General features: G+C 36.2%; 1 protein-coding gene across 18 annotated transcripts in view; it reads right to left on the bottom strand.

The window, feature by feature from the left end:
• Positions 1 to 19,505, bottom strand: part of KLF12 (KLF transcription factor 12) — a 619,957-nt gene that overhangs the window by 300,220 nt on the left and 300,232 nt on the right. For 16 of the 18 annotated variants that reach the window (NM_001400153.1, NM_001400139.1, XM_011534909.3 and 13 more), the window contains one exon: positions 8,682 to 8,745. The exons of the other annotated variants lie outside the window; for them this stretch is intronic. In NM_001400153.1, coding sequence (NP_001387082.1) covers positions 8,682 to 8,714 — 33 coding nt within the window. In that variant the 5' untranslated portion in view covers positions 8,715 to 8,745. Of the gene's footprint in view, positions 1 to 8,681; positions 8,746 to 19,505 lie in introns of those variants that run through there. 18 annotated transcript variants of the gene reach the window in all.

Genomic DNA, 19,505 nt, shown 5'->3' on the forward strand with positions numbered 1-19,505 from the left:
TGCTTCATTTAGCTGCAAAAGTGATTTGAATGGACTTTTTTCTTCCAATCACAAGAAGGAAGAAAATTATATTTTGATTGACATAAATCATAATTTGCTTGACTATTAATGGAATTAGCAAAATGAGAATTCTTTCAAAATTCCCAACCACATGTTTATGACAAAGGTAACATGTACCTGCAATCACAGTCACTTACGTTTTTGAAAACCTGTGGCTGGCAGAGTAATGGCCCCCTAAAGATGTCCATGTCCTAATCCCTGAAATCTGTTAGGTTACATGGCAAAGGGGAATGAAAGTCACAGATGGAATTAAAGTTGCTAATCACCTGACCTTAAAATAAGGAGATCATCCTGGATTATCTAGGATAGGCCAAAGTAATCACAATAGTCCTTAAATGTGAAGGAGGGAGGTAGAAGGGGAGAACCAGAGAGATGGCAGTACCAGAAGGACTTGGCCCAAAGCTGCTGGAGTTGAATGGACCAAGGAACCTGAGTAGGCTCTAGAGGCCGGTAAGGAAATGGAATCAGTCCTAGGACCTCCAGAAGGGAATATAATCCTCCCAATACTTTGAGTTTAGCCCAGTGAGACCATTGGACTTCTGACCACCAGAACTGTAAGATAAATTTGTGTTTTTTTTTCAAAACCACTAAGTTTGTGGTAATTTGTTACAGTGGCCATAGAAAACAAATTAAAAGCCTTTAATAAAAATAAATTCACTTTCATATTAAGTGTCTTGCTCTAAAAGCACAAATAGTTGAAGCAGCATGTTAAATATGAATAATCAATTGATTCTTAAATTGGAATTTTGAGAAACTTACACTCCATTAGACTATAAGATACACTGAAAAACTGATTACGTGTAAGACACAAAAAATCACACTTCTTGAGTCAATAATTATTAACATTATTAAATAAAATTCTTTAGAAAAAGTAAGAAATTCTCACCTAACATCAGCTTAAGAGAAGGGAAGAAGCTGCCTTATTAAAATAATATACAACTGTTGATACATAAAACTATATAGATATTATACTTCAATAAATGTTTTTAATAATCAATTACTATGCTGCTTTAACACTATAATGTTCTCAGTAAGTAAAAAAATTTTAACTAAAATGATATTTGAAAGACACTTGTATCATTTTTATGATCACTCTTGAAAATTTCTGGTAAAATATAATAATTACTTTGGTAAGGTACTCTAAATAGCTTAGCTGAAGAACCACTATAATCAAGTGGCCAGAGAATGAAAATGTGTAAACAGGGAAGAGAAAAAGAAGAAGGGAGGGAGGGAGCAGACGTGGGAGAGGGGAGAGGGAGAGGCAGAGAGAAAGTGGGGGGAGAGGAAGTGAGGGGAAGAGAGGAAATTGGAGAGAGGAGAGAAGAAGTGGGAGAGGAGAGAGAAAGTGGGGGGGTAGAGGAAGTGGGAGGAAAGAGGAAGTGAGGGGAAGAGAGGAAATTGGAGAGGGGAGAGAAGAAGTGGGAGAGGAGAGAGAAAGTGGGGGGGTAGATGAAGTGGGAGGAAAGAGGAAGTGGGGGAAGAGGAAAGAGGAACTGCAGGGAGAGGGAGGGTAGAGAGGGAAAGAGTGAGAGTGAGACAAGGAAGGAGAGGAAGGTAGAAAAAGAAATAAGCCTCAACAGATTCTGGCCGAAATGTAAATCTTTGACTTGTGTTTGTCATTTCAAATACTGTCTAAATAAAGATGTCATTTCCAGAGTCTCCCCTCTGCTTCCATGGCACAGCAGTGCCCCTTAGGAGAAGGGCTCCTGTCTTCCTTCATTCTGCCACTTCCAGTAGATCCCCTGGAATCATTGATTATCACACATTTATCTTTAAGAAGAAATTTTTCAGGGCACTTTTGTGCCCAAAGAAAAAATACACCCTTTTGCATTTGCTAAGAATTTTTTCTAAACTAACTTTTCTTGGCTGCTCCCATTTCTTACAGTCAGTGTCATACTGGCAACTCAAGGTCTAGCTCAAATGTCACTTTAAATGTGAAGCCTTCCAGAACCCACATCCCAATTCCCTGGCTCTAATAAATATATTATGGCACCAATCACATACAACTGTAGAAACTTATCTGCCCATCTCTGAGATAATGAAGTCTTCAAGGCAGAGTCTAAATACAATTTGTCTTTCTAGCCCAGTGTCTAACAAATAATAAATGCTAAATATATGTTTGAATTGTAGTGTTTGCAACACCACAGGACAGAAGTTGCCAACATTCTGTAAGTGAACCAATAACATATGCCCCAACTACCACAGCATATCCAATGTTATTTCCTCCAAGAGAATTGGCGATGATTCTATTCTTTATCAACACAGAGTAGAACAATTTGGAAGTCCCCAGTCAGACCCCAACACCAGAAGCTGCCATATAAGAAGAACACCTGGTACCCATCCCAGCATGCTCTTCAGTCAAAGGAAATAAAATATACAAATGCTGGTCTAAGTAGCCAATTTTCCTAAAGCTAAACTGACTATACTGTAAACATGACTAACACAGCTTAAAATGATAAAAACAGCTATTTTAATGAGCACTAGTAACTACCAGGCAATATGCAAATGCTTTAGAATTTTTTTCTCATTTAACCTTCACAATAATTTTATGGAGTAGGAACTATTACTGTTATTGCCATATCACAGACATGGCAACTGAAATATACAAGCAAAGTTGAACACTGGCAGAACCAGGATGGAAACCAGACAATCTGAGTACAAAGTCATTTTTTTAAACACCACAGCAAGTTCAATATTCTCCATGTGCCCCTTAAATCCATTTAAAAGGTTACTTATTCAAAATGGCAATGTAAAGGCATTTTTACAGCCTTCTTTTAAAACCCACTGAAAAAGGGCAAAGCAAATAAAAAAATAAAAAATAAACCCTCCACCTTTAGTGAGAGTTAAAAGTCACAAACTCAAATTCCCAATCAAAGCACATCTGTCAAATACTGTGAAATGTGAGAGGCAACTGGGAGCTGACAAACAGCTCCTCAAACCTCAAACAAAACACAGAATTTCCTAAAAGTAAAAATCACAGTTACACAAGACCTATTCAATGACCCTTTGATTACGATAGACATCAGACTAAGTGAATACAGATCAATTTCTCAGAAAGCAGAGAAAGTGTTGTTGAAAGAACAAACACACAGGCACTGCCTTTTGTGGAGCCTAGCTCCCTCATGAAGGGGTTCATGCGCTCCCTCATGACGTGGCAGAAGGAAGGAAGACAGGAGCCCTTCACTTAAGGGGCACTGCTGTCCAATGGAAGCAGAGCAGACTCTGGAAATGACACCCTTATTTACACAGTATTTGAAATAACAAAATCAAGTCAAAGATTTGCACTCACTAGCTCATACCCAAATCACCAGTGCTCCTGCTGATACTGTGCTCTGGCAAACACTAGCCCCATATAAAGATAAGCGATACTCAGGGAGAGTCCATGAGAACTGCAGGTAAAAGCAGCAAATACCAAAAGCCAGAGAGAAATGTAAGCAAGAGGCCAATGAAGAACAATCACAGGAGAAATAACCCAAGCAAACAGATGAGGAATTTAGACAAATATCTCTTCATAGACTCCAAAAAATTAAAATAATTACACATAAAAGTTTCTTTAAAAAAAAAGTTCAAGGCAGAGGTACAAGTGTAAGTTCAGGAAGTACAAGGGTTCACGTAATACAATAACAGAAAACTAAAAGAAACGAAAATAAGTCGACATAGCTATGAAATATAGCCACCTTGGGAACAAAAAAGTAAATAATTTAACTGAAAATATAGTTTTTTAAAAAGTTCAACTTGAAAGCACACTGAGTGAAATTAAAAAGTTAAAGATGAAGGCCACAGATATGGAAAATCAAGGAGAAACATCACACATATTATCAGGGTTACTAAAGAGAAGAACAAAATAGTGTACTTTAAATAAAATTTTAAAACTTCCTGTCATAAAAACAGACTCTACTTCTCAGAGATTAAGAGCAAGATCCAAGAAAAAATGGAACAGAATGACAAAAAGTAAAACAATTGATGAAGTTCCTGAACTTTCAGGTTTAAAATAAATTGTTCATTAGCATCCTGGACAAAAAAAACAAAACAAGAACAAGTGAAAAGATCAGTTTGCTTCAAACTTCACAGTGACACCAAATGCCAGATGACAGGGAAGCCATGTCTCCATATTTCTGAGGGAAGTAATAATACTACATAGCTTTGATAATTACAATTAAGAATCATAAAATAAATGTGAATAACCTTAATTTTAAAAGAATAGTAAAACAAAAAGAGGAAAAAGGGAGTCAGGAAGAAACTTTGTTAATTTTCCCATCTTTCTAACAAAAAGTCAAAAGATTCTGTTTCAAGTTAAATTCAGTCATTTCAAAAAACAGAATTCAAAGTTTGGGTTTTTTTTAATTAACTGTTAATAATATCATTTTGGTAAAAGGATATTAATATGAAATTAATCTATTAGGCTTAAATTCAATTCTTATTTTTTTCATTCCATCAGAAGCAAACTAAAAAATATTCTTTGTAAGAGATGCAAGGTATAAATATGATCTTATTTTTAAAAAACCGTTTCTAATTATTTGTATGTATGTACACAGAGAAGCTATAAATAATGTTCACCGAATATGAACAGAAGATATGAGGCACGGAGATGATGGGGCTTTGCATGCTTTAATGGTTTTAAAATGAGCAACGCATCATCTTTTCAAATAATGAAGCTATTTCTCTCCTTCAATAATTCCATAATCTTTCCCAAATCTCTGCATATCATTTTGTTCCCATTTCCCAGATAAATAAGATACCCAACACTGAAGTGACTTGACAGTAAAAGGAGTGACCCAATTCAAGACGATATTTTAATAAATACTATGATACACATACTAGTTGGTATCATTATCAAGTCTATTGATGTGGCTCAATAAAAAAAACTTTTAGTACGATTATATATGCCTGGAAATAGGATGAATGTAACACGAACTAAGAAATTCCAAGGCGTGCTCAACATAACACTAATGCAGCCAACCAAGTCTTACGGATAGTAGCCATGCACCAAGTGCATGTTAGAATTAATGACCTTTGAGGGCACTTCGATTTCTGAAAATGTCTGACTTTGTGATGTGAAATCATACAATGTCATGAAGCTCTCTCACACTAAAAAACAAATAATATCAATACCATGCACACTTTTAGAACTTGACAGTTTTAAACCTTTTTCACAAGAATGTCCTTTTTTCACACCCATAGCAACTCTTGAAATAGGCAGGACAGGTGTTATTAGTTCCTCTTTGCAGATGAGAAAGTTAAAATTCACAAAGGAGAGGGCACTGGGGTTCCAGATCAAACAGACAGATAATTGCAGAGCTAAGGCCTGCCTCTTTTTGATTCCACTTTTATTGTCCAGGCAACTACCCTACATACACTTACAGCAGCCAATGCTAACAATCCATTTCATTTACATTAATTGCAGCTTTTGGAGCAGCTATGGCTACTTAGTTCAAAATGGAAGAAAAGCTGGATTGCTGCTATTACAATCCCTCTATCCTGTGCGAAGAAAGAGCCTTGGAACTTGGAAAAGAAATTTAAAGCAACCACAAGCTACACAACCATCACTATGAAATAAACCCTTTTTGTGTGGCATGAAATCGCTCACAGAAAGGCTTGCTCTTGTTCTCTTGATTTCCAAATGCATAAAGTAAAAGTCACCCCACTGCTAATGCTAGGTGGTTAGGCAGCTGTTCATCAGAGGTAGTCGCAAAGCAAAGTTTTAATGTGAACTCTGATAAGCTGGACTAATGTATATGTGGGATGGGTATGTTCTGAACACCTGCTCTAAGCCAGCTGCTGAGAAGCACTGGGTAAACATATTGAAATGGCTGGGGGAAAGAAAAATGAAGCAAAGCAAGGAGCCAGGTCCACAACAAGCCACCATATTCACAGAGAGGACAACTGCTGAAATACGCTGAAGTGTGTATCCACCAGATTTTATGCTGGTATTTGTGAGCAGGAAATAATGGACAACAGGAATCTTTTTAGAATTTATTTGTCGTTTTCTAAAGGCAGATGGTAAAGGGACAAATCCAAGTGCAATGAAGCTGAGTAAAGGAAGTAACTTAATGAAGTAAAGAAAAACTTAATGCAAAAGTTGTGTTTGTTTTTTGTTTGTTTTTGTTTTTGTTTTTAAGGAAAGGGTGGATGAAGACTGCTCCTGAAAGTAAAACTCTCAGTATGGACACAACAGAAATTTTATAAATCCCAAGTAGGCTATTTAAATTTTAGAACCTAAGCAGAAAGGCACAGCATGATATTCTGTGGCTCTTGGCAGGATTTTGTCACCACTGGCAAACTGGAAACGTACAAAACAGTTGTAAAAGCCATATTCAAATCCCTTTTCAACTATGGCAATGCAGCTTCCACTGCTGACATTTTAAAAACTTCGTCTTAATATTGACTTTGTCAATGTATTTGAAATGTAAAAAAAGATAAATTTTCAAACTCTGCAATTTTCTCCCTGAATCAGACTTTGTTAAAACTAACAGCATCTGATTCAAGCAGACTTAAAAACAAGCATCAATGTATTCTCTGTTCAAACGCATCTACAATGGATAAAATGTATGAAAAATCATTTTTTAAACACACAGCAGTGAGGCTGGGCACAGTCACTCACGCCTGTAATCCCAACACATTGGGAGGCCAAGGTGGGAGGATCACTTGAGGTCAGATGTTCAAGACCAGCCTGGCCAACGCGGTGAAACCCTGTCTCTACTAAAAATACAAAAAATTAGCTAGGCAACATGGCACGCACCTGTAATCCCAGCTACTTGGGAAGCTGAGGCAGGAGAATGTTTGAACCCAGAAGGCAGAGGTTGCAGTAAGCCGAGATCGCGCCACTGCATTCCAACCTGGGTGACAGAGCGAGACTCCATCTCAATGGGACAAACACATTAAATTAAATACTCACTGCTCCTTTCTCCTTAAAGACTTTTGAATTCATGAATTATGAGCTATAAGGCACAATTGTTCAGAATGAATCACATAAATTACAGTCAATCATAATATTTTCAGGGTCTGTCCTCAGGGTAACTAGTAACACAATGATTCTTTTTGCCATCATCTTCATTTGTCATAATAAAAATTAGTTACAGAACATGACACTGCCAAAATTTATAAACTTACAAAGCTAACATTGATCTTTTCAAATATAAAAATTTAATGACAACTGAACAAAAACATAAAGAAATACTATCTCAACATCATTTCTAAAGGAAAGGGATAAATACATTTTGCATGATAGGTAAAGAACATTTCCATGTTTACATAGAGAAAAGTAAATTTACTACCTTTGCCACTCTAGTCTTAAGGAATACATAAAATTTTTAACTTTACTGTATAAATGGAATTATCAATGGTATGCTGGAGCTAGCTCATCCCCTGCTCATGAGAGCCAATTGTTGAATTTTAAGGAATCTTGCAAGCCAGGTGGTAAAGCCTTGAAACCATCCATAATGGGAATAATTACACCACAGGAATTGACAAACACTACAATCAGGCCTCTCCTCTCCCCTCCTTCTCCCAGAGAACCACTTTACTAACACACCACTGATCCACATGCAAATAAGTCCACAGTACAGTTAATCCTCACTAAGTGAATGCACCCACACAGGCAACACTGAGGTCATGAAAAAGAACATTACTGATACCTGCAGAAGTCTCCCTTGAACAATATCTGAATCAATATGCCTCCACAGGTCTAAACACTTTACAAATACTAGAAAGGAGCAATTTTAGCAATGAGGATGGAAGAAGGCAATTTAAGTGAAAGATACAACCTTGAAAATCACTTGTAAGTAGCTGTGAAGGTAGGCTGGCAGAAAAAGACATAGCAAGTTGTGCATTGATTTGGAAGCAGCAAGAGTAATATGGGAAGGAAAATATGAAATTGTATTGCTGAGCAGCTACATGAGGAATTATGAGGCACATGCTTCTGTATGAGACCTGTTCAGTGTAAAACCCTACTTACGAAATAGAGATGGTTTAACATATTGTAATTCTCTTAGTGTCACCTATGATTTTTACATTGTAACCAGTAGAAACTACAAGAAAATCTCAACTACCACAAATAAGGTAATACCCACCATTTGAGGACTGTTGAAATTCACAGCGCCCCCCCCACCACCACACTTTCATTCATACTGTATTTGTAAGAAACCAAATATTAAAGTTTTCCATGATGATCCTACTTCTAGGAGAAAAGCAGAGACTTCAGGGGCATAGGACTGCATTTGACAGCAATCATGCACCATATGGCACTGGTATTAGAATTATGTTTGTAGAAAACTGATGTATATTAAAAAAAATCTGGCTTCTTTTTTTGTACCAGTGATCAGTTGCATCAAGCAGTTTTCCATTTTTTAATATTCATCTGAAAGTTGATTCTTAAAATACCAGCTTAAGTTCTGGAAAAGAATTACAGCTAGACTTGCAGGAAAAAAATGAGGAGTTGCTTCCATATAATTTTTTAAGGGGCTAAAAGGAAAAATTACATTTTACAGATAGATATGCACATGTAAGTACTGACCTCTGTCTCGTATTCACACAAGAAGGTACTCTAATGAGAATAAACTGCCCAAAAGTAATGCTCAAAGTAGCAATATTTTCAATGCAATTTTAACATCTGACTAACCAACCTTTATTGTTTTTCTCTTCATATGGATATTCATTCATCCATTTGTTCTTAGAGTCACATTGATCCTGCAAGAAAAACACAAAGACAAATGATGAGAGAAAGTTCTACAACTTGATGTTATTGCTCCTTTGGGGAAAAAAATACATCTTAATTCTACAGTTCCTTAAGCTCGTGATCATAGAGCTGAGGAATATCTTTTCTTCAGCTATGTGTTGTTGGCTTGCTCTTCAGCAGCCATCAAAGGGCAAAATGCAGTAGAGGGAAAAACACCAGCTATGACACTAGGACAAGATCCTGGGCACTAAATAATTAAGACCTAGACAAAAATGAGGGAGGAAGGGAGGAGGAGAATAAAAAGAAAGGGATGCAACAGAGAGAGACAGCTGAGGAGAAAATGGCCAAGTAAAAAAAAGGTTTATAAGTAAATTTCCTGTATAAAAGAGAAGTCCCAAATACTCAAACTGGAACCCTTGGCTTCATTATTCTTAGCAACTGAGAGAATTTAAAGTAATGTCATTTCATTGGGGGAAATGATTGTTTCTTTACAGTTGATACAAATGTGCAAAATAATGAATACAAATAAATTCGGTGGTTCCATGTCAGCCAATACCCAAGTAACTTTAAAAAAATGATCTAAATTAATATATGTCCCTTCTTTTAAAAATTAAATATAAATTAAATATTTATGTGGTTTCTAAAAGGTCCAAAATCTCCAGGACCATTAGGATATCACCAAATCATTAAATATTATTGGGCTGGGGAGTTCTGATTATAATAGACCATTTGCCCTATTTGGATATATCTTACAAGTCTTCCTATGTATTCTCTCTCAGCATTATGTTACTTGCTTCAGAATTTCCATTTCATGAGGCAAATTTTCTTTGGCATTCAGTTGAGCCAGCTTATTAGGCACAGTTGACTTTATTTTTCATTTGGAATTACACTCAAGAGGGGACACACCCTGGAGTTCTCAGCAGCGCCCATTCTGTGCCAATGTCTATGGGCCGTAGCACTGGGCCTGGTTTCCTGTGTATGTTTCCATACATTTGAAAAGAACTCACTCACTCATAAAGGCCTTAAATGAAATGCAGCAGAGTTCACAAGCTCCATAGGCTTGACCAGTGAAGGAAACTGGCCTTTAATTTTATTCCAGTTTTAAATATATATGTCTCTCTTGCTATAACAATGTCTCAAAACATGTCCCCTAATATGCACTACAGCTTTTACCAGGCATGCTACTAAAAAGGGAATCCAACATTTCAATATTATAGTGGCAGACTAAAAACATTCTCTTGAAATTCAGAGTATAATTCCTCTATTTAACATGATTAAACCATAACATGGTATCCTTTGAAATACTTAAAAAGTCACCTAACACACAGTGTTCTCAAAGATGTTTTGTCCTTTCTAGTCTTCAAAATATATCTAATCCAATCGGTTCCAACTTCTTAGCCGAATGTTCAATCAAGGTACATCAAAACCTGGCTCATTATTTTTCACAGGGTAGTTCTATAATTTTTTTCATTTAATGTGCCATAGGCATGTTCTCATATAAACTTAATAATGCTTAATCCAAAAATTCATAATACTCCACTGAGGGAATATATCATTATTTACTTCTTAACTTTTGCCTTATAATTTGTGACTTTTATTACGAATCACACATAAACACCCTTCCGTGTAAATCTGGTGTGCACCAGAGTCTCTGCTGGTCTGAATGATGCCTTTAAGCAAATGGAAAGGATGCCTCCTCTGGACAGACACAAAGAGCCTCCAATCAGGAAGAAGGCAAGGCCTGCAAGCAGAGCCCACCGCAAACTACAACCACCACTCCCCCAGGTAACCTCATCCTACACTACCGCACTTAGCTGTACCAATTTATATTCCCACTAGGAGAAGACATAAGGATGAAACTGATCAGAGGTAAATTTTATAACCAAGGAAAAAGTCAGATAATGTCAAGGTTCTTACAAACCCCTGTCTTAGTCCCAAATCTTATGGCATGGCTCTTCGTGGTTTGTCATACCATCTACATTTGCAACCTTCTACAATTTAAATTTATATTTCTGTAGTTTTTAAAGCATGGGACGGCCTGATACAAAACTAGTTTTTGCTTTCCATCCAATTCAGGCTCCCAAGAGAGTGTTCAAGATTCATCTCTTGCCTTTCAGCCCCTCATACTTTAAGTAGCACAAATGAAGGTAACAGATGAGGACACAGATTAGAGTTGAGAAGACCTGTCTGTCCCTAGTCTCACCTCTATTATCTTCCGGCTGTGTGAACTTAAGCAACTCGTTCAACCTCTTTGATGCCCAGTTTTCTTCTCCAAGAAGCAAGGATAATAATAATAATAATACCTGCTTTATATACTTGCCTACTCTAATTGCAGTAATGTTTATACAGCAATCTGTAAAATGTTAAATGTCATACGTGTAAGAATTACCACTTTTTAATCAACAGCCTAGATATCGAATAGGAAATAAAAAAGATTTCTCTAAATGGAGGCCACATGATAGAACAGATACATCTCTAATTTTATTCATGCTAAGGGGCCTTTAGTTTTTCCCCCCAATCCCTATCAAAAGCAAGCCATGATATAAAATAGGAAAATGGCACATTTCCAATAACAGTTAATAGCTCATCAATTTCCGAATTAAATTTACTTAGCTCTGCCAAATAGGTTTCTGAAATTATCCAGTAAATCTTCCCAAAGCACAGAAGTTTTAAAGGCCAGTGGCCTCATCAAAATGCTCATGACGCATGGTTTTGGTCCTCATTTTCCTGGCTTCAAAAATGTTTCTCAATTGTCATTAGGTGAAGAAAAGCAAAGGATTGGTCGCTTATTTCAATATGAAAAACATGAAAAATAGCAAGGCATAAAATATTACACTTTTGAAAGTATTTTAAGATTACTTTTAAACCAAAATATTGCTGCCTGGAACCATGGGTAAATACTCATGGTTTTAGAGGAGAGACTGGAGAAATTCCAGTTACACCTGTTTCTCTTTAGTAGCTGCAAGCAATAGAGAATGATTTTTAAATTCTTTCCTTTCTCTTTTTCTGTCTTGAAATTTCCACATATGATCACTCAAGTTCCTTTATAACTCAAAGACAGTACACCCTGGACAACAGAAGTGACCCTGGCCATAGTGAAAGTGAATGCTATCCACTTTAACAAATAAGCAGCTACTCTGTCACAATTACCTCAGAGTACAGGCATTATATTATACTACAGTACCAGATTGCTTGCTCTTCATCACATCTTAAATGATCTATTATGTTCTCAGTCTTTAAAGGTTAGTGTTTAATACATTTTAAATGTATTAAAATGGACCCATAAGTATACTTGTTGCTAGATCCTCTGAGAATCCCTTTATGTATCTTTAAATAGAGACAGAGAAACACACTAGACATCTAACTAGCCAGGGATTCCACTCTCTGCTCAAAGGTAATTTAGTTGCTCTGTTTCGAGTGAATTGAATGGTGGTGCTGATATAGTTATCTTATTTGGAATTCTGTCTTCTAGATTCAAGTTTACAAATCACTGCTTCATTAGTTATGATCTTGTGTTTTCCAGCACCGATTTTAAAAATCAACTAATAAAGGTTTACATACATATTCAATTCAGTTACTGTAATTTTTAAAGCCAACTAGGGAAGTTGACAGGCAGGCTTTGTGCATGTCAGTCTGTGATGTTATGTAACAGGTCCAAGTTTGCCTTGCTCTGCGCATCAAGGTTTCTACCACATAAGTTGCTTTTCTTCTACTTAAAGCTATTTCTGTTTCATCTGTCACAGTGAGTTATCTTGGGAACTAAAAATATTTGAAGGTTAATCTAAATATTTCTGGAGATAAATGCAAATCTAAGTGCTACGTTTTCATAGCTATTTTGACTAAAAATGAAAAGTAGCTAAAGACACAAAGAAGAATGCTTGTTGCTAGGTGACAGGTGACACCTACTGTATCTCTTCTGAACTTGTACAGCATGACACATCTTACTACCAAGAAGAGGCACTTGGATTTCCACTGGACACACATAATTCTCTACAGAGAAGCAAACTAGAGTTTTTTAACACAGGACACAGTTAGCAAATCATGGCTATAGGAAAAGAGATGCCTCTCACAATAGGAGAGAATAGTACTTCACTTTCCATTTCAGGTACACATTTTCAAGTAAAGTCCACACATGAAACACATTTAACTTTCACAATTCATGATTAAGCATTAAAAAGTGATAACAGACATCACTTCAATTAGGGTAGGTGGAGTCCATAAAGAAAGCATTATTCTCCTATAAGTATCCAATGCTCACTAAATTTAGTAACACAAGGCCATCATAGTAAAGATCTCATAAGTTAAAAAAAGAAAGCACAAAAAGCTTCTAAGATTTCCTGGACATATTTTATAATTACACACCTACTTTCTAGCATATATCCCTTCCTTCAGACAAAAACCCAGGCATAGGCCGGGCACAGTGGCTCACGCCTGTAATCCTAGTACTTTGGGAGACCCAGGTGGGCAGATCACGAGGTCAGGAGATCAAGACCATCCTGGCTAACATGGTGAAACCCCATCTCTACTAAAAATACAAAAAAAAAAAAATTAGCCAGGCGTGGTGGCGGGCGCCTGTAGTCCCAGCTACTCTGGAGGCTGAGGCAGGAGAATGGTGTGAACCCGTGAGGCACAGCTTGCAGTGAGCCGAGATCGCTCCGCTACACTCCAGCCTGGGCAACAGAGGGAGACTCCATCTCAAAAAAACAAAAACAAAAACAAAAACCCCAGGCACAAAGTTCCACCCTCTCTCCTTTGACTCATCAGGCAATCCAGGTGACAATACGGAAGTTTCAGGAACTCCATCATATCCAGCATGTCAGGATCTCACATGAACGAATGGCATATTCCACTCCATGTGAGAAAGGCTGTGATGCCATCATGGAAAAGATCTAGCTTTGAAAGCCAGAAAGAAGGAACATCAGCCTTAACACTTGGGAGTAATGTGACCTGGGGTAAGTTGTTTCCATTTTACATGCTCCTTTTGCCCCCTTGTTAAACCGGTATCATAAGCCCTCCTCCCCACTTTTTTTAAAGCTAAGAATATTAAAAAAGAGAATGTGTATACCAGAATGTCTGGTATATAACGGGTATTCAAGAAATGTCACTCCTATTTCTACCCCCCTACATTTATAATCAAGTGCCCAAACTCCTTTTCCACTTCAGCTTTCTTGAAAACTAGGAAAAGCTATGTCCGAAACCTGATATAAAGTTATACTTCCTCAATATCACCTTCAACCATACTTGCTTATACGAAGGTCCTGGGATCCACAGAAAATGGAATCTCCACTCTAGGATCTCAGAGTATAGTGTTCATAATTCCTCCATTAAGAAAATTCAAAGATGCAACAGCCAATGGCAATAGGAGAAAGATTTCAGAGGTCAATAATAACCCATATTCAATAAAGATCCCCTTGGAATTCTGTTCGTTGCATAAGTCGACTTAAAATACTTCATTTATAAAACTGTCCCCCATTTCCAGTTTTATGTTTCCTTGAAATTACGCTTCCACCCAAGGATTCTTCACTACTTAAAATAGCAGATACTACTACAGAAAGTAAAATTTAATAATTAAAGTCCCACTTGGAGTAAGGTATGCCCCAAAGCTTGAGCAGTCACTTAAGAACAGAGCTCACTGAATACACAGCCCATTTTCAGAAGGAGAAGGTAAAGCAAAAGCACACTGACATGGAAATTACTCTTTTAATCTGTTTTCAGCTTCCGTTTCATTACACCCCATCATTCTGTGCACCCAGAGAACAAATAAGTCTTTAAAAGAAAGTAACCATAGCAAATGAATTAAGCATTTCTTTTACATATATTGTACTCAATATAATGGTTTGAAAAGTAATTTATGCTATGCTCAGATTCAAATGTAATTGCCATTTTATCAGGACTGCATAGTCAAAAATCTGATTTGTACTGCAAAGGATTGACAAGATGATTAAATTTTGTCTTTGTATGTCTAATTTATGTGATTTAAATTGTAACAAAATATAAACATGTGCCATTTGGACATGCACGTAAGTACCATAAGTACTACCACATGTAGTACTGCATTCTGCCAAAAGTAACTTGGCCACACACACATTTGCATTGCCAGATGAAGAACACTCACATCTTTCTCTTAATCCCATCTATCAGGAGGCATTTTTAACTATCATGCTGAAGATGTTAAAAATCTTTGGGGTTTTGAGAGGCTGGTGGAAGGAAGGGAAGAATAGGGTGCCCATTTACCCAGTAATCTCCAGCACTACTTGTAAAATGTAGCTGCGTGATGTATACATAGAATGCCAAATTAAAAATATTGAAAGCAACTGAAAATAAAATCAAACACATATTTGGTACCAATTACAAATGCATAGTTCACACAGCCTAAGAATTTCTCTACTACTTCACTTCAACAGGTGTTGTTGGAACACAGCTAGGTACAGGACATTATGGGGTAAATAGTTAAAAGTTTTAGATACTAGAGATCTATGACACAATCAAGAAAAAATAAGTTGCTTTGCTCAGTATGCAGTATACATATTTGGCTTTCCTATTAATTGTTGCCTGTATGCTTGGGCTGCCAATGCTAAGCAAGATAAATCCTATTCAAATGCATAGTAAACAGTTTGCTTAGTGAATAAATTTATTTTCTAGCCCATCACAACAATAGTTGATTAAAATATGTTGCTCTTATCCACACTTTTGAATTAATTCATGTGAAATAAAACAAATATTTATTAAATTGTGGTGAAAACATTCCATCAAACTGTGAAACTTGAGTAGAAAAACAAATGGTACATGCTTAATTATGGTTGACATTTAAATGAAATTTGCATTCTCAAAATATTTTGCGATAATTAGAAAATATTAGAAGACAAAGTATTTTAGGAAACTTTATGTTCAATCTCTTTGCACATCTGAGCCAAAGAAACTTTTAACAAAGGTAGATTTTATAATATAATTTGAAAGATCAATCAAAGGACTTAATAGATTTGTTTTACTGACATGTTGACATAGTGGTCCAGAAATGAGACACTTTATTTGATATTTTTAATGATTATCTTACAGGTTGCCGAGTGCCTTACTGAACAATAGCTCTGACTGGCTGAATTCATCAACCCAAGTTTGTGTATTTAGATATCATCTATGTATCTCCGAATCTGCTCCTCAACACACAGCTAGCTGTCATAATACATAATCAACTAGTATTTCTCAACAAGCAAATTAGTAGACTGTCAAAGGGATTGCTTAACCATATGCTTCTCTCATTACTACATAATCCCAGAAAATAAAAGTAACATTTGTTTAGAATGACAAATTATTTTCTTATTTATTTACTTTTTTATCTTTATTTATGTTTTCGAGACAGGGTCTCACTCTGTCATCCAGACTACAGTGCAGTAGCACCATCATGGCTCACTGCAGCCTCGACCACCCCAGACTCAGGTGATCCTCCTGCCTCAGCCTCTTGAGTAGCTGGGACTACAGGCTAGCGCCACCACATTCGGCTAATGTTTTGTAGAGACGGAGTTCTGCCATGTTGCTTAGGCTGGTCTCAAATTCCCAGGCTCAAGCAACATTCTTGTCTCAGGCTCCCAAAGTGCTGGGATTACAGGCATGAGCCACTGTACCTGGTCTGACTCTTACTATAAGAATCAAAAACGACTCCTTTAAAAATGGAAAAATACTAAAATTGAAGAAGGTCAACTCAACCATATTCTAGCAACTGCTGGCAGGTAATAAAAGTCACTGATTTATAATAGTGATGCACATTACATGGCAAACACATTCTGTTATCAATTCACACATGAACTGCCTATATGCAAAGAACTGAGAACATCAACAATAATACTCCATGGAACCTGACACACAGAAGCTCACAGTCAACAAAGGTGGGCTGAATATGGATAAATGACATAATTATAACACTAATATCTACCATCTCTTGAATGTTTTACCATATGGTTAACAATGACTAGGTACTTTTACATATATTATTTAATTGAATTCATGGAAGAACCATAGTTATTCCAGGCAAGTTGAACTGATGTCCACATTTTATAATGAAAGTAAGTGATTAAAGTTAACATTCTGTAATTCAGATTAAGATGCCATCCTTAGTAACACCATAGGGAGCTCTGGTGAAAGAACGGAGTATAGTGGGAAGTGGAAGGAAATCAGTTTAGTTTCACAGAAGTGCTTACACAAAGCTGAGTCTTGAAAAATGGGGAAGACAAGACATTTCAGGGAAAAGAGATGGACTGGGTAGTAGATTTAAGTCTGAATTTGAGAATAATCATACATGTATGTGAAAATATGCATAACTTACAAAGAATATATGTAGAGTGAGTACCCCATGAGTTAACATATTAGTCAGCCCATCCAACTGAAAGAGGGACTCTAATGTGGAAAAGAAGCCTGTTGATATGAAAGGGGGATTCATTTCAAGGAAATAATAAAAGCAATTCTGAAAGTCTAACTTCTGTGTCTCAGGTGTGTATCTGTCTTACAATGCAAAGGGATTTATTAGGCATGCTAAGTCAGGACCACTAAAATATAATTTCAAGAATTTTATGAAAAAATGACTAAGAATTATGTCATGTTCCACACGATTCTTGATATTTCTGACACTGCTGGCCAAAGATCAAATATTGCACAGTATTTATTATTCAAATATGAATCAATGAAAATATGCTTACAGATGGTGTTTCTGCACATGTACACATACACAGCTAAGCTCTACTGAAAATACAGACAGAAGATAAAATCCTGAAGAATAAGTTATGTAAGTTTCACAAATACTCCAAAAAATTAAATAATTTTGAAAAATATTGTAGCAGCCAAGGAATGTCAATGGCATTTTCAAAAGTAATCCCAAAACAAAAACTGCCCCACTGCAGGCTTAAAAACCTATTTGGAGACACACACAAAACTAATACGTTCACAAGTGAAATGACATGATCAAATAATTATTGAGAGTAAGCAGGTTAAGGGCTCACACGTATCCCCCAATAAGAATAGGGAATGTATTTTTATATTTTAATTTAAATATAGTATCATTCAAAAAACACCAGGTTTTTTAAAGAATCCTTTCAGTTCTCTAACTTTATTCCCAAAGGTGGCTAAACACATCTTGTGAGATACAGGAAAGGAAAGCCACTAGCCAACAAACTGAATTAAAATTGTTCAGGGTGGAATGGTATCAAATTCCAGTAGTAAAAGTAGTAGTGGTGACAGCAGTCCTGGCATCAGCAAATATTTAATATGAATTTACTATGTGCTAGCAACTGTTCTAACTACTCTATTGTCTATTAACTTGCATTAATCCTCACAACCTTGTGAAGCGGGTGGAATTATTAGTCTCATTTTACAGATGTGGAAACACAGAGAAGTAACTTGCCTAACAAGCGGCAAAGGCAGAATTTTGAAACCTATAGTTTGGCTCCAGTCTTCATGATTTTAAGTACTGTAACTTAAATGATTCTTATAAATAATCTTGGTATAACTTCATCATGCAATGCACAACAGTGTGGTATCTTTTTTTGTAGAAAATATGCAGAAAGCCAACAGCAACAAGAGAGTTTTGGTGTTTTCCCCTCAAGCAGTTTAAAATAAGATATTTCTAAACTAATGACATAAACTCAGATGCTTTTCCAATGAAGGAAAAGAAAAACATATTCCAAATCTGAGATTATTTGAAATCGTGCCCAATATTACAATAAAGCCAGTATTTTAAGTTTCTCCACTAATTAGAAATTAATCCTTTCCTTAAATCATTTAAGGTTTGGGGGATTTTTCAAAGATTTTAAAATTTGTGTGTAAAGTCTCCTACATGAAACTTAGGATTAATGAATGAAAATTCTCTTTCTCCTTTCCTCACCAATGATATCCAAACCTGTGCACAGACAAAAAAAAAAAAGGGAATTTAACTTTCACTTCACAAATCAACTGCATTCTTTGATAACGTCTTTAAAATAAAAGCCAATTATGAAAATACATTTCAAAAAAGTATTTCTAACCTGTGCTTGAGGCTGTTACCCTAAACAACTATAAATTACATAATTTGAAAAAGTAATTTATGCATAGTTTTGGCAAAATATTTCCCTCAACTCTTAGATTCTTTGCTGATTCTGAAGGTACTGCTATGAACATAATATTAAACAATCTCAATAAGGTAACCAAATAATAAAGAGCCTACATCTCATTTTAAAAGCTAAGCAAATAAACTTCAACGCTGTCAAATAGTTAACTTCCTAAAATGATTGAAATATAGAAAAATAAATATAAAGGAACTATAAAATCTCTATAATCATATGTACTAATTCTCCTTTACATAATTATACATAAATAAATATCCCTGCCTATCAGTGAGGATTCAAAGGTGAAAAAAGACATCGTATAACATATATTTCAAAATTTAAAAAGGCTGGCAGCGGTATGCTGCACTTTGGGGAAGCACCAATAAATCAAATCTGTGAACAGTAGGCACCAGGTGTGTGGTTTGACACAGTTCATCTCTCCATGAAGCCAGGATGGAGGATTAAAATAACTGCATTTCAGTTCAGGAAAAACAAGTAGATGACAACTTACTAGAAATCGGGAATACAGCTATGAAGTATTACACATGACTCTGTTCAACTTTAACATGAAAAGCGCAGCCATACAGCATCTAAATGAATACAAGAGCCACACAAAGGGCATGGCACATACTATTTGGAGATCTTTATAAATGGCAATCTTTGTCCAAAACATACAAATTTCCTTCATCACGGACGGTTGCTGG

Source organism: Homo sapiens, chromosome 13 (assembly GCF_000001405.40).
Source record: "Homo sapiens chromosome 13, GRCh38.p14 Primary Assembly".
NCBI lineage: Eukaryota > Metazoa > Chordata > Mammalia > Primates > Hominidae > Homo > Homo sapiens.